The sequence below is a fragment of the Homo sapiens genome, chromosome 4 (assembly GCF_000001405.40).
Source record: "Homo sapiens chromosome 4, GRCh38.p14 Primary Assembly".
NCBI classification, from domain to species: Eukaryota; Metazoa; Chordata; class Mammalia; order Primates; family Hominidae; genus Homo; species Homo sapiens.
Genome location: NC_000004.12, coordinates 40,461,047 through 40,478,029, shown reverse-complemented (window position 1 = coordinate 40,478,029; position 16,983 = coordinate 40,461,047). Strand labels below are relative to the sequence as shown.

The 16,983-nt window shown below is 39.5% G+C and overlaps 1 protein-coding gene across 40 annotated transcripts in view; it reads left to right on the top strand.

The window, feature by feature from the left end:
• Nucleotides 1–16,983, top strand: part of RBM47 (RNA binding motif protein 47) — a 207,573-nt gene that overhangs the window by 152,823 nt on the left and 37,767 nt on the right. For 37 of the 40 annotated variants that reach the window (XM_017008310.3, XM_017008309.3, XM_005248103.5 and 34 more), the window contains one exon: nucleotides 11,331–11,453. The exons of 1 other annotated variant lie outside the window; for it this stretch is intronic. The gene's annotated coding sequence lies outside the window, so the exon portion shown is untranslated. Of the gene's footprint in view, nucleotides 1–2,267; nucleotides 2,338–11,330; nucleotides 11,454–16,983 lie in introns of those variants that run through there. 2 more of the 40 variants (XM_047415815.1, XM_005248109.5) reach the window with 1 other exon arrangement.

Below are 16,983 nucleotides of genomic sequence, written 5' to 3'. Positions count from 1 at the left end.
AAAAAAAAAAAAAAAAAAAAGAACATGCCACATGGCTCATGTGGCATGACTTTTCTACTGTGATGCACACGTGCCTATACAGAGGGCTGTGTAGTAGGAGCCACTTTTACTATCAGTAGAAGGGGTGACTTGCTTTTTCTGTGTACTTTTCTATATTTTTTGAGTTTGTTAAAACTAGTATGTTTATGTGCATGTATTTTTTAAATTAACTTTGTTCAAAGCCAAGGCAGGAAAAATTTGCTCATTTTTTATTTAGGGCAGCCCATAATTGTAATTGTTGTTTTCAGGTATTCAGTGAAAAATTGCTCTCTCCTTACCCCCTTAGTCTTAAAATTCATCATCCTGAGATGGTTTATTTCCTATGTTTTTGCCTAAGTTATTTTTTGGTAGCATTTGGTATAGGAGCACACGTGCACACACTCACACCAAACCTCAATCTCAGAATACTCTCTAATGCTTAAAACATGCCAGAACTTTTTCTTATATAATATACTAAATTACTCTTATAGAAAAACAGACTTTCTGAGTCCCATTTGTAGTCGAGAGGAATTTAAATTTGTCTGAAATCAGTAGATTTTGAAAACACTGCCTTAGTAACTGACTGCTTCAGAGTTCCTTCAGCCAGAACATAGCGATTTAGTTTTATATAATATTTAACATAGTTATAATCTTAGACTTGTTTTGGATTTTGACCCTATGTTAACTTGTTGATAATTTATAGTCACTGTCGATAGCTATTATTCTATCTAGGAGTAATAAAACTGTCTTTTTAAAAAATATATGCGTAGATGAATAGATTGAAAATGTTCTTGTCGTCATTCTGGCCGTTTTTGTTTGTTTGTTTTTCGAGACGGAGTCTCACTGTGTTGCCCAGGCTGGAGTGCAGTGGCGCCATCTTGGCTCACTGCAACCTCCGCCTCCCAGGTTCTAGCGATTCTCATGCCTCAGCCTTCCGAGTAGTTGGGATTACAGGAGCCCACCACCACGCCCGAGTCTCGAACTTCTGACCTCAAGTGATCCACCCGCCTCCGCCTCCCAAAGTGCTGGGATGACAGGCATGAGCCACCACACCCGGCCCATTCTGGTCTTTTTACTTCCAACTCTGGCTCCTTCCAGTTACTAAGGTTTAACTGAATAAGCTTAACAATGATACAGTGATGACTCAGGGAAAACTGGGGACCACATTTTTTTGAAATTTTTGTTTTAGGAGGAGTTAGTTTCTCCTTCCTCTCTTGATGTGCTGCAGAGCTCACTTTAATCCTGATGCAGAGGACACAGAAGTCACATTGCTTTCAGGACCTCCTCCAGGCAACTTCAGCTCCCTTTTCCTCTAACCTCCCAATTGCCTGAACTGACAAACTCAGCCTCCAGAGAGACTTTCGATGAGGTTCCATCCCATAACTGCCTGAAAAGGAGTGTATTTACTCAGCTTAAGTGCCTCAGGTCCTCCTGATCTGTTGTTGTGTACAGATGGTTTTATTACCATAAATCCTGCTGTACTGCCTGCTTCTCTTTCATTCTATGCCTCTTCTACTTGTCTCCACTTCTTATGAGTAAATCAATTTCTAGCTCCAAACTGATAAAGTAAAATAAGGTGAGGGTTTGGTTCATGTGTAATTTTTTCCTATTTTTTTTCTCCCAGACTGATCATCATAAACATGATTGTTGACAGTCTTTTAGACACAGGGTACTTAACCAAAGTTACCTACCCCAGATATAATGAGAAGGGGAAAAAGCAACACTTGCTAAAAATATAACATTTCTAAGAAATCCTAGTAACACTTTTTGAGTACTTTCTATATGCCAGGAGCTTTTCTAAACACTTTACGTATATTTATTTATTTAATCCCAACAGCCTAGACAAGGTGGGCATTATTGTTTTTTATCTCTGCATGTAGCTGTACAAATGTAATGGGCATCTATCTGGTTCTAGGATGGTGGACTTTGAAAAATCATTTGTTTCCTTACGGTCGTTATTTGGGTTTGAATAAAATATTTCTGTTAAATGTCCTCTATGAAGTGGCAAAGCTTTTGAGCCTTCCCCAAATCCATCAGTTACAGTAGGGTTTCCATTCCGTTTCAGGTTGCTGTTGAGCATTATCTTTGTGGCAGTTTTAACACCTCCCTTCTTTCTGTACCACCCACTCAAGCTCATTCCAGGTGCCCTTAGCAAATGACTCCCAAGGCATTAAGTGGCCAAAGCTCATTTCGTTGACCAATGAGGAGCCCTGTGCCATGTATAACAGAGTTACACAGCTCCTGGTATTGGGAGCGAAGGTTGCTTAAGCAAAGCTTTCATTACAGTTAGCCTGTCGCACCCAGATCAAGATTGGAAAGGTAGGGGAAACCTTATTTGTTTTAAATGAAGAGAAGAAGAGGTAACTGTGTTTGGTTAAAGCAATTTAGATCAGACCAGATAAACAAATGATCCATATTGTTTGTTTTTTAATTGAAGACCCCCCCAAAAAAATTTGGAAGTTGGTAAGAATTTCAACTGCTGCACAGTCTGCCTTACCAGCAGTAAAACCAAAATTCTTAAGTTAAAAACATTTTCTAAAAAATGAGTTTTTCTAACAGCTTTTCACTTTATATGCTTGAAAAATCTAGATCTTCACAGTATTGTTGTTGTTTTATAGTTTCCTGTTATTTAAACTATGGGGTAAGAAGCAGGAATTTATCAGCAGTGTTGCCCATATTTGATTTTTAAAGCCATTTCAGAGTCAGTGTTTAGAGAAGGAAATTATAATTTTAAGATGTGATAATTAAAATAAGGAAAAATTAATGGAATTAGCTTTATGATAATTAGCATATAAAGGTTGACAATGATGACATTTCCTCTCAGAGTAAAGTTCTTGTATAAGAAGACTTTTATCATTGTTTTCAAACCAATAGTTAAATTTATGAAATGGAATTATTTAGGTGTAGATTATATGCTTTAAAGTATTAACATTAGTTTCACTTTCATTATAAATAATTGTTTAGTTATATTTTATATGCTATTCAAAATTTGTTTTAATATTAACTCAAATGACCAGAGAAGTAGAATCTTTAGTCATTTCTGTCTGGCAGTGGAGCAATTTGAATAGCATTTGAAGTAGAAGCTAATCTTTTAAAGAAAAATACTCTTCTCTCTTAACCCTTCTCCCTTCTCATTATGATGAATCAATGTTGCAACAAAATGTATATGTGAGAAATGCATATTCTTATACTTTTTATTAGCCTACATCTGATATTTAGTGTCAAAAGATAAGTTTGGGTTCAAAGAAAAGTGTAACTGGTTTTCCCTGATTGCTTTTTGCCAAAGGTGGCTTAATATGGGTTTGTATTTTATAACAGAGATTAGGTAATATGTTTATTTTAAAATGTGACAAATGAGAGATGGCACCATTTGATTAAAAATGTATTTAAATATTTCATTTTGAACTCTACTTTGGTCTAATTTGTAAAGGAAATTTTTTAATGTACATATCACAAAGTATTAAATATCCAAGAATTTCAGTTATTGCAGATTCCATTTTCTTATTTTGACATATTCATTTAAAAAGACTTGCATCCTGAAATTGTATACTTGTATTAGATTTGTTCCAAATGCCTTTTTGTAAGACGTCTGCCATTCTCAAGATCATCGTTATTTGTGTCTTTTACTCTGGATGACTCTGTGGGGGAGGTGGGTGTGGGGGGCGACCAACAGTCACAGTGTTAACTATTCACGATGGAGAACGCTTGCTAGCCACCTTGTCCTGTATAAGTCAGTGCTGCTTCTCGGTTCCAAGCTAAGGTTCAAAGGTTTAGACTAACTTCACAGATCAGAGGTCAGGTACGAATTGCTGCAATTTGTAGTTCAATTCTGCCGATATGACAGAATTTCACAGCTATGATGATTGCTTTTTTCCACTTCTGCACAGAGGCCAGGCTGGGCAGTTAACAGCGTAATTTGTACAAGTCAGCCCTCAGCACCCAAGTTTAATGAGTAACTAACTGGTGCCTTAGGTTTCACTGGTACAAGGTGCATATTATAAAAAGGGTCAAATGTCAGTGCACAAAGACGGAGTGGGGAGGGGCATGATAATCTCATCACCACCATCTGTGAATCATATGTAAAGATTCAGTAATTTGTGTTTATTTGTAAAATTATATTTCCACTGTAAGAATGTTAGTATGTTCATTTTCTTTGCTATTTGAAAGAGGTGGATAATTTTGTTAGGTGTTAGCAGGAAACAACTGTCTGATTAGAGATTATTAACTAAGCAGTAGAAAGTGAAATTGCAGTTTTGTTTACTCATTTTGTGGGGTCTCTGAGTCCTCAAAAACTTTCTAAAGTGTGATAGTTTTTTAAGAAGCTAGGAAACAAGTCAGAACACCAGATATTTCTGAGCCCATGATATTTATGCCTATCTGATATTCTCTATTCGTCACCCAAAAAGTTGAACTCCTATCTATATTTCTAACCTAGGTTGAGAATATCATTTACTGTTTAAAGCTGAATATTGGGGTTCTTGAAAAAATTCCTACCTGGTAGGCCTTAACAATTCATGAATTTGCCATTCAGGTTTAACTCCTCATGTTGACTCTGAAGCTGTAATATATAATGCATATAGAATCATTTGTCATTTTTGTTATAGCACAGATTTCAGTTTTCTACTCTTCCAGATTGGAGTGCAGCAGCAATTGGATTCTTCCATAGAAGGCCTGGGGTTTGAACCCCAGCTTCTTCACTTCCAGCTAAGGGACCTTAACAAATGGGCAGCCTCATTATACCTCAGTTCTGGCATCTCCAGAATGAGTAGCATCATAGATCTTGCTTCATGAGGTTGTAGCAATGATTAAATAAGACGATGTATGTGGAATGCTTAGTGCCATACCTGGTGCATGATAAACATTCAATGAATGTTGATGGTCATTACTATTATTAATATTATTATGTTACTTAGGTTGTGAGTTCACCTAGCCTACCACATATACCATCTCAATTTGGTTTAGACTTGGTCTTGGCTGTGTTCATTTCATGAGGGACATCGTTGGATGTGGCATAGGATAAGGTGATTTGGGAATGTTTCAGGATGCATTTCTTTTGAATGTCATGGGGAAGCTTATAAAATTCCTCCATTTCAAGTCTAGCACTCTTTTAGATGCTATCTTTTTTCTTTAGCTGATTTGCTGTCACATGGCAAAAACTATAAAAGGGGATAAATCCAAATTATCTGGTTTCCTTTGAGAGCTCCTTTATTCTGCCAAGCAGTGAAAAACATTTGAGTTTAAAAAAAAAATCCATAAATGATACCTTACCAGTGGGCTAAATTCTATACTTGTTTATATATATATTACACTTACTAGAATTCATGCTTTCCAGAAATGCCAGAAATGAAAGTATGAAAGTGATTCTTTTTCATTCCATTTTTTTCATTTTAGTCCTATGGAATGTATCAATAGCATTTGAAGAAAAACATGATTTTTTTTTTTTTTTTTTGAGACAGAGCATCACTCTTGTTGCCCAGGCTGGGGTGCAATGGCGTGATCTCAGCTTACTGCAACCTCCACCTCCCAGGTTTAAGTGATTCTCCTGCCTTAGCTGAGATTACAGGTATGCGCCACCATGCCTGGCTAATTTTTTGTATTTAGCAGAGACGGGGTTTCACCATGTTGGTCAGGCTGGTCTCAAACTCCTGACCTCAGGTGATCCACCCACCTTGGCCTCCTAAAGTGCTGAAATTACAGGCATGAGCCACCGCACCCGACAAAAAACTATTTTTAACTATTAATGACGATATAAAATTTATATGCTTGGCATTAAAAAGGTAGTAACAACATCTCAGACTAATTAAAAAATTAAGTGCCTACTATTGGCTTGGATTGGGTGTGGAACTCTAGGATTCTAGTTATGAGTCAGATCTAGATTCTTCCCTGGTAGAGTTTAAAACTGACTCAAGATGACTAGCATTACAGCAATTACTATAAGGCTAAACCAAAGAAAATTGTCAACAGTCTACTGTTTTTGTCCTATAAAATAGCAATTTCATATGGTTCAACCTAGTGCTATATGAAGGATTATATGATGTTGGGGGAGCATATCACAGGGGGCTGCAGGAATAGCTTTGTAGAAGGAATGAAGTTCGGGATGAGTGCAAGCTGGCTAGATGGGAATTGGTGAGGGCTGAAATATTGGAACAGCATGTGTAAGGGGGAAGTAACACAAGATGAGGCTGGAGGAGGACGTGGAGCCTCTTTATAGGCCTTACAAGCCTTACAAAGGATACAAACTTAGTCTAAGGGCAATGGGAGGAGAGTGTAGGGGTTTAAGCAGAAGGGTGATAAAACGCTTCCTTTTTTTTTTTTTTTGAGGTGGAGTTTTGCTCTTGTCACCCAGGCTGGAGTGCCTGGCACGATCTCGGCTTACTGCAGCCTCCACCTCCCGGATTCAAGCAATTCTGTCTCAGCTTCCTGAGTAGCTAGGATTACAGGTGTGTGCCACCACACCCGGCTAATTTTGTATTTTTAGTAGAGATGGGGTTTCACCAGGTTGGCCAGGCTGGTCTCGAACTCCTGACCTCAGGTGATCTGTCTACCTTGGCCTCCCAAAGTGCTGGGATTACAGGCGTGAGCCACTGCGCCTGACCAAATTGTATATTTTTTAAACGGTCCCTTTGCCTGTAAGGAGACCTAGATTGATTGCAGCAGGCCTGAGTGGATAGGGAGAAGCCAGCTGGGAGTCTACTGTAGAAGTCCAGGCAGGAGCTAATGGTTAGTTTAGGAGATGCTTTCAAATGTTGTGTCTTGTGTAATCCTTATAATGGTGATCTTTCAGTGTACGGGTAACAACCTGAGGCTCAGAAAGTTGTGTAGCATGCCATGGTCAAACTGTTCAGGTGGCAAAGCGAGAACTAGAACTTAGTTATTTGACTCTCAACCTGGTGGTCTCCTGGCAGCTTTAGGACCCCATGTACTAGCATCCTTGGGTGAGGGCAATTGGTTTATCTTAAGAAAGGTTCTGGCGAGACGCGGTGGCTCACGCCTGTAATCCCAGCACTTTGGGAGGCCAAAGTGGGCAGATCACTTGAGGTCAGGCGTTCAGGACCAGCCTGGCCAACATGCTGAAACCCTGCCTCTACTAAAAATACAAAAATTAGCCAGGTGTGGTGGTGTGCACCTGTAATCCCAGCTACGTGGGAGGCTGAGGCAGGAGAATCACTTGAACCCGGGAAGCAGAGGCTGCAGCGATTCAAGATCACGCCACTGCACTCCAGCCTAGGCAACAGAGCGAGACTCTGCCTCTTAAAAAAATAAAGAAAAGAAAGGATCTGTTTTTAAGAAATGGAATTATCATTCCTTGGTGGAGGGTTGTGGTGAGAAAGTTATTTTTAGCTTAGCTTTATGACTGAGAGAAGTAGAACAGGACATGACTTGATATTAGACTGGAGCATCTTTTTCCGAAAAATAAATGTATTAATTTCAAGTGTTTTATGTATGCTATGCTTCATTCCAAAAATGGACTTGAAACAGCTTTCAAAACTACATACGACACGTCAAGACACAAATAGAAGAGGGGGCAAAAAAATCAAGATAGGCAAACTAAGATGATGCCAGAAGCATCCAATAAATGCTTGCCCTCAAGTCCCCCCATGTGTTGAAGACGGAGTCATGAGCGGCTGTGAGATTCACATGCCCCAAAACATTAAAACAAACCAGTTGTTCTGTCAGTATAGCTTTCCTCCTACTGGAATCTATAAACTTTTCCCCATTTGGTCTTTATAAAGACTCCATGATGGGGTGAGTGATGTCTATGCAATTTCAGGGTACCAGGCTGGGGGGCGGGGGGAGCTGGAATGAATTAACGCCATTAATGTCTGGAAACCACCCCGTTTCTCCAGAAACTGCCCCACAAATCTTATTACTATGTTTCCTACCTACTGTGTGACCTTTGGTAAGACAGTTTCCTCCATAGTAAAATCAAAGGTTTGGACTGGAACTAACCTTCTCAAACTGGGTTCTCTGGAGTATCCAATATTGTGTCAGGAGGAATGTGAAGCCACAGGACAAACATAACATATAGGTTTTGCTTGAAGATTTTTATGGCAAACATAACAATATTAAATATTCTGGCCGCACATGGTGGCTCACGCCTGTAACCCCAGCACTTTGGGAGGCCGAGGCCAGCAGATCGCTTGAGGTTAAGAGTTAGAGACCAGCCTGGCCAACATGGCAAAACCCCATCTCTACTAAAAATACAAAATGTCTCACGTAGTTTTGTGCTACATCATAAAAAGGGAAAGAAGGATCACAGATGTGCCTTTCATGGCTATTCAAGTAACACAGGACATTTCCCCAAAATGAAACACTTAGGGTCAATGTTTGTTTCCAGAAAAATCTGACTTTCCAGAATAACTCCAAACACAATCTATTTCATTTGATCTGCTGGCCTCGGCCTCCCAAAATTAGCCAGGCATGGTGACGCACACCTGTAGTCCCAGCTACTCAGGAGGCTGAGACAGGAGAATCGCTTGAACCCAGGAGGCAGAGGTTGCAGTGAGCCGAGATCAGGCTACTGCACTCCAGCCTGGGGGATGGAGTGAGACGCCATCTCAAAAAAAAAAAAAAAAAATTATGGAATGGATTGTGTTTGGAGTTATTCTGGAAAGTCAGATTTTTCTGGAAACAAACATTGACCCTAAGTGTTTCATTTTGGGGAAATGTCCTGTGTTACTTGAATAGCCGTGAAAGGCACATCTGTGATCCTTCTTTCCCTTTTTATGATGTAGCACAAAACTACGTGAATTCTGTGTTTCATTTATATATTAATAATTTGCTTTCAATTCTTAGAGTTTACATGTTCATTACCTTGGTATTACATTTTAAAGGGAGACATTTTACCATTACAGAAAGAGTGAAAACTCAAAATTCTGCACAAATAATATATGTCGAGAATGGTGCTTTATAAATATTTTCTCTGTTCTCCACAACAGTCCTGCCAGGAATGATTTCTGCTTTATGGAGGTGGAAACTGAGGCTCAGGAAAGTTGAATATACTTGTCTGGATTTACTTAGCTAGTAGATGAGAGATGCAGGAGTCTATTGTCCAGACAGTGTACAATTAATTTCAAGACACACCTTCTTGTACTTTGTACATTCGTTTTCGTAGTTTTTATCAACCACTATGATCTTGATTACTAGGTATTATCCAGGATGCAGCATTTCAGGAATTATCTTTTCACAGAGTTGGGTAAAGATTATGTGTATTAAAACGTAAATCATTTTAACAGCTATTGCTCTGTAATTTATTTGAGGGTGTGGCTTTTTTTCTTTCAGGAGATCATTGTTAACAAGATTAAAACTAGATCATGGTAAAGTATTATTGCTGTGTTCCCATAACGTTATGGATCTCACTGAGCACCCAGTCATTCCAATATAAAGATAGTTATGGCAGAATAATTTTGAGCTATAAGTTATATTAAAGGCCATTTAATCCAGAAGGTTTCCAACTGTGCTCTATGGAGTCCTAAAGGTCTTACGGTGTCTCCACAGGGACACAATGAATGATGGAAGTGGGGGCACCTCCCGACAACATCCCCTACCTATACTTCAACCAGCAACTGTTTTATTGGTGTTGTTTCTGCAACTAGTTAGATTTTTGGTGGAAAAAAGTGTGCTACAACTAAAACACAAAGAAAAAACAAACACAATTTTTTTTTAATGTTGAGAACTATTGGTAATCCAACTCCTTTATTCTTATTTTTATTTATTTAACTTTTTTGAGACAGTCTTGCTCTGTCGCCCAGGCTGGAGTGCAGTGGCACAATCTCAGCTCACTGCAGCCTCCGCATCCCAGGTTCAAGTGATTCTCCTGCCTCAGCCTCCTGAGTAGCTGGGATTACAGGCGCCTACCACTGCACCCAGCTAATTTTTTGTATTTTTAGCGGTAACAGGGTTTCACCATGTTGGCCAGGCTGGTCTTGAACTCTTGATCTCAAGTGATCCACTCATCTTGACCTCCCAAAGTGCTAGGATTACAGGCATGAGCCACCACACCTGGCCTCCTTTATTATTTTTTTTCCATGGGAGTAAACTTTGGCTCAGACAGGTGAAATGAACTGGGCATGACAGAGATAGCCTTAAAACTAGCCTTCTGGTTCCCAGTCTGGTGTTGAAACCACTGTGCCATATTGAATCTTGTATAAGTTATTTGGAGCTTCAGTTGGCTTGATGGGGGCTCTCTGTAGTTTGGAAAATCAGGCAGATTATATTTCCACACATTGAAATAAAAATAAAAGTTTTGTGCTTAAGATATATTTTAATTCCTCATCTGAAATATCTTTATCTTGAACTTTAAATTCTTTTCATGTGAATATTTCCTATATCATTACTTATTAAAGATTATTCTAAACCCCCAAATCATATTTTTCATGGGCCTCTCCATGCGATGAACATCCTCAAAAGAGTCTTGACTCTGCCGAGTACAGTGGCTCAAACCTGTAATCCTGGCACTTTGGGAGGCTGAGTCGGGTGGATCACTTGAGGTCAGGAGTTTGAGACCAGCCTGGCCAACATGATGAAACCCCAGCTCTACTAAAAAATACAAAAATTAGCCAGGCGTGGTGGTGGGCACCTGTAATCTCAGCTACTTGGGAGGCTGAGGCAGGAGAATCGCATGAACCTGGGAGGTGGCGTTTGCAGTGAGCCGAGACTACGCAACTGCACTCCAGCCTGGGCGACAGAGCAAAACTCCATCTCAAAAAAAAAAAAGAGTCTTACCTCTACATTTTAGGGGCAGAACAGTAAGTCTCTTTCATACCAACTCTGGTTGGTAGTGGATAGCTGGAGTACTTGCTTCAATGGTTTTGGGAACCCTCTCTGGACCCTGCAGGAAGAGTTTGAAGATCTATTAGTGATGTGTAGCATAAGCTCCCAAATTGGCTGGGAAGTCCATGAGCTAGATATGATTATTTCTGTAAAGGATACTACCTCTTTTTGTGAGTCTATAAGTGTAAAATATAGGCTACATCTGTATTCCTTCTTAAACATTATGTGCATCTTGAAGTCATGCACACTCTGAAGAAGGCATAGAGACAAACACAAATGGAAGAAATTAGTCATTTTCTTATTATTACTGTTCCTTGTTTCTTTAAGAATCAGATAAGCAGTTGCACTTGGTTTATAGAGAACATGATAATTAGAGTAATGGTATTTCATTTTTTGAAGAAAATGGCCCCCCAGTTTCTAATTATTATGCTTAGGAACTACGCAAGAGGATCTGCCCCCCCCCCCCCAATTTCTAATGCACATATGAAAATCATGTTGAAATAGAAAATATTTCTAACCATTTCTTTTTTAACCCTTAGGATTTGCCTCAAAGGGCACTGCAAAAATTGAACAGAGGAATCCCAAGGAAGCTGCCTGAATTTGCCTGTATACTCTCGTTCTGCGACTTATAAAGGACCAGACAAATCAAATTAGTGGTTTTGGTGAGTATACTTCCTCTGGTCCTTTTCCCTTCCACTTAAGCAAGAACATAAGTTTTCATTCCTTTCAACCAAGATACCTGCTACTTAGACAATGTGTACCTGTTGTGTGTTCATGTGGCAACGTTAGTGGAATATAGAACGTGATAAGTCATTTGGAACCCTCAATATAAACCTTTATGTCTTTGTACACTTTACATCTTTGTGACTTAAGAGACAAGATATAACTATGTGTTGCTTATAAATCTGACCCTTAACCTCCCAAAAAAGAGGTCAACTGTATTTCTTTCTTTCTTTTTTTTTTTTTTTTTTTTGAGACAGTCTCACTCTGTTACCCAGGGTGGAGTGCAGTGGCACGATCTCAGCTCACTGCAGCCTTCACCTCCCAGGTTCAAGCAATTCTCGTGACTCAGCCTCCCGAGTAGCTGGGATTACAGGTGTGTACCACCACATCTGGCTGATTTTTATATTTTTATTAGAGACAAGGTTTTACCATTTTGGCCAGGCTAGTTCTCAAACTGCTGGCCTCAAGAGATTCACCCACCTCAGCCTCCCAAAGTCCTGGGATTACGGACATGAGCCACAGCACCCAGCCAGTCAACTATGTTTCAGTCAGACTGTATTTTGATTGTGTGACACGAGGCTGGGTTCTTGGTACAAACTAGACTAGGATTCAGTGTGATAGTATCTTGTATTTTTGATCAATCCTCATACCTTCTCTAAGTTTCTGTTTCCTTGCCTGTCATATGAGGTAAAAATAACTGTCATCCCAATTCATGATGATCCAAAGAACCACAACATATGTAAAAGCACTTTGACAACCATTTAATCTTCTCCAAGTAGGACTGAGCCAAGGAGGCAGAGGTTGCAGTGAGCCAAGATCTCTCTTTTTTTTTTTTTGGAGATGGAGTGTCGCTCTGTCGACCAGGCTAGAGTGCAGTGGCACGATCTCGGCTCACTGCAGCCGCCGCCTCCCGGGTTCGAGCAATTCTCCTGCTTCAGCCTCCCGAGTAGGTGGGATTATAGGTGCACGCTACCACACCCGGCTAATTTTCATGCCCAGCTAATTTTTTTGTATTTTTAGTAGAGACAGGGTTTCACTGTGTTGCCCAGGCTGGTCTTGAACCTCTGAGCTCAGGCAATCTGCCCTCCTCGGCCTCCCATGTGCTAGGATTACAGGCATGAGGCACAGTGCCCCGCTGAGCTGAGATCTTTCTATGGATCTAGTGAGTGAGATTATTCTATGGACGATAATCTTGTGTGTGCTAGGAAGGGAAGATAGGAGAAAGATTAGCTTCACCCTGACCTTGGACCCCAGCCCTCACATAGCTCCAGAAGGTGGAGGCAGTAGATATTGGTGTGTCAGGGAGGGGCTGCCAGCGACACTGATGTGCCCAATAATCCCTGCGAGAGAAAATAGGTACTTTGTCTTCATGTTCCCTAGGCTGGGTTTTGGATTTAGTCCATTGAATTCAGGGACTCAGAGAGCAAAATTTTTTTAATTGTAATTTTTTTCTTCTTATAAAAGTATACTAATGGAAGGAAATCTGGAAATTATAGAAAAATGTAACAAAATCTACCCATAAGCCCACAATCCAAATATAACCAGAATTAACATGGTGTATTTACTCTGATTTTGTTTGGTTGTTTAATTTTCTTTTCCTTTTTTTTTTTTTTTTTTTTTTTTTTGAGACAGAGTCTTGCTCTGTCGCCCAGGCTGGAGTGCAGTGGCGCGATCTCGGCTCACTGCAAGCTCTGCCTCCCGGGTTCACGCCATTCTCCTGCCTCAGCCTCCCGAGTAGCTGGGACTACAGGTGCCTGCCACTGTACCCGGCTAATTTTTTTTTTGTATTTTTAATAGAGACGGGGTTTCACCGTGGTCTCGATCTCCTGACCTCGTGATCCTCCCGCCTCGGCCTCCCAAAGTGCTGGTATTACAGGCGTGAGCCACCATGCCTGGCTGATTGTTTAATTTTCATATACAGTAGTCAGCCCCCATCTGCAGTTTCACTTTTCTCGGTTTCAGTTACCCGTTGTCAACTGTATTCCCAAAATAGAGGCATACAGTATGATATTTTGAGACAGAGAGAGAGACCACACTCACATAACTTTATTATTAGAGTATTGCTATAATTGTTACATTTTATTATTGTTGTTGTTAATCTCTTACTGTGCCTAATTTATAAATTAAACTTAATCATAGGTATGTATTATATATGTAAATATGTATAGGAAAAAACAGTATATATAGGGTTCATTACTATCAGAGGTTTCAGGCATCCACTGGGGGTCTTGGAACAGGTCCTCCTCAGATGAAGGGGGACTACCGCATATCTTTAAATATTATTTAGCAAAGTTAAAATAGCTGAGAACATTAAACAGGTACTCTAAGCTGTGGCTATGCCACGATTTATTGACCATTTTTATACCATTGAATATTTGTGTTTATTACATTACGTGTAAATATATACTATTATGTTCATTGCATTGTATTATAAATAGAACTTCAGTAAACAGATTTGAATGTAAATCTTTGCTTGGGTATTTGATTATACATGTCTATAAATGGAATCATTGGGCTAATGAGAATTGACTAATGAACACTGTAAAGCTCTTGATATTGTCCAACTCTTTCAGAAACAGCAAATTTTACCCACCTTCCCACCTATCCCCACGCATCATATATGGCAATGTGCGTTTCACAGGGCACATGTAAAAACTGTATTACCAATTTAGGAAGATTTTAAAACCAGAAATATTTTTATAGATACTCAAAAAATATTTAGGTTGGTGCAAAAGTAATTGCAGTTTTTGCCATTAAATGTAACGACAAAAACTGCAATCACTTTTGCACCAACCTAATAAAAGCCTATTCCCTCCCCTTTACCTACCCCACCTCTAGCCAATATCAGGTCTCTAAAGTAGAAGACAGTGTCACCAGATCTGTTATTACTTACCAACCTCAATCTCTCTATGGGAAAAAGATATGTGAGGCCTACATTCATTCACTGAATATTTATTATTACCACTTATGTTCATTTCTTGCACTGTGCATCAGGAGAAGCTGCTGGCTCATGTGGTACTTCTGTTTATTATGATTATATTTTTGAAGCACCACCATACTTTTTCCCACAGAAGCTGCACCATTATACATTCCCACCAGCAGTGCACAAGGGTTCCAGTTTCTCCACATTCTCACCAACACTTGTGGTTTTGTTTTTTTGATAATTGCCATCACAGTGAGTGTGAAGCGGTATATCATGGTGGCTTTGATTTGCATTTCCCTAATGATGAATGATGTTGAGCATCTTCTCATGTCCTTAAGGGGCATCTGTGTGTCTTCTTTATTTTTTCAAGGGTCTTTGCAGATGTGTAATGCAGATGTATAATGTATATCTTTGCGGATGTATAATGTATATCTTCCTTGGAAAAATATCTGTTCAACTTTTTTGACCATTTTTAAATTAGCTTGTTTGCTTTTTGTTATTGAGTTGTAGTTCTTTATATGTTCTGAATATCAATTCCTTATCAGACATGATTTGCACATATTTTCTCCTACACTGTGGGTTGCCTTTTCACTCTCTTGACAGTGTCCTTTGGTGCACAAAAGTTATTAATTTCGATTAAGTTTACTTTATCTATTTTTTCTTTTGTTGCTGTGCTTTTGGGGTTGTCCAAAAAATCATTGCCAAATCCAGTATCATGAAAGTTTGCCCCTGTATTTTCTTCCAAGTCTTATAGTTTTAGCTCTTACATTTAGGTCTTTGATCTATTTGAGTTTATTTTTATATATAGTGTAAGGTAAAGGCCAGGATTCTTTTAAAGATGTACTTTTGATTCCCACCAAATCTCGGTGAAAGCCTGTATCAAGCAGTTAAGAAAACGACATGAGTATTCAAGCCAACATTTGTTCTGAATGATTTTTCTTCCTCGTATAGGCTTAGGTGGTTTCCCAACAGACAGGTGAAAGCAAGCGTTTGGGGAACTGATGGCTCATGTAACTAGGATACAGCAGTGAGGCGGCAGTTGGGCTCAGCAAGTGTTTTGTAAATATGCTTGAAGAAATCCCCAAAAAGAGAACAGCAGGGGTAGATAGTGGCTTAGGCTAGAAAAAAACGTGCATGTGGGTGTTATGTAGGTGCATATATTTGCAGCAGAGGGAAGGAGAGAGGACACTCTGTTGTTGGGAATTGTGGGCTATAGAAGATAAAAACATCTTTTGTACAAAAACAAATTTCTTTTCATGCTGCTTCAGAGAAAAAAACTAAATTAGCTACAATTATGTGCTAACTATGTTTCCAAAACAGTTGTCCTAGTTCTGTTTTATTGTGGACAGAACCTAGCTGTACTTAACAAAATGTGAAGCCTGTCTAGACTTCCCTTGGAGAATATTGAAAAGTACAAAGACTCCCCAGGCTGTGTAACCCGCCTCGCCTAGCTTCAAATGTCTGCACTGGACGGGCGCTGTTCTCTGACGGGCTTGGAGATGACAGTAGTGCCATGCTAATGCAACTCAGGGTCTCAGAGGTCTCCCCACATGAACAAGATTCTGTATTAGGCTCTCAACATTGGAATGCTTGACATTGGCAGTTGGCTGTCCAAATTCCAAATAAATTAATGTTAAATCTTTTTTTTTTTTTTTTGAGACGGAGTTTTCACTCTTGTCACCCAGGCTGGAGTACAATGGTGCGATCTTGGCTCACTGCAACCTCTGCCTCCCAGGTTCAAGCGATTCTCCTACCTCAGCCTCTCGAGTAGTTGGGATTACAGGCGCCTGCCACCATGCCCGACTAATTTTTGTATTTCTGTTTTAGTACAGACAGGGTTTCTCCATGTTAGCCATAGCTGGTCTTGAACTCCTGACCTCAGGTGATCCGCCCATCTCAGCCTTCCAAAGTGCTGGGATTACAGGCATGAGCCACTGTGCCCAGCCTGTTAAATCTTTTAAAACTCTGACTTCGGAACCTATGAGAAACAAACTGAAATCCAGCCCATCCCTGTTTTGGTTTTCACAGGGACTGGTTTAGGTCCTCAGCAACGTGGGCTGCTGTAGGTCCTCATTTTCTCTTTGCCATAAAAAGGGATTTGGGAAAGAGGAAATAACTAAGCCAATTAAATTTTCTGATGTAGGATGGGATAAGACAGACCATGCTGTCTAAAAAAACCATTTGCAAGACTGGTATACTATATTTCCCTTGAATAATTAAAATCATTTCACACTTTATTAACTCGAAGAATATCCAGTATTTCCCTGTGAGCCTGAGAATAAATGATTAGCTCAAATCTGGGCGTTTTTACTGATGTATTAGTTTTTTAATTGAAATATTAACTCCAAGTGCACTCAGTGAAAGTACAGAGTACGCGAGACATGAATAGCAATTAAATGCCAACAATTGTTCCAGGAGTTTAGTAGACCTGGGAAATCATAAATTTCCTGACACCTGAATTTTTCATTTTAAATACTCTAGGTTCAGTGAAACTCTAGATATGTATTTTCTGTTCATTTCCATTCTTAATTTAAGTGCATATTTCT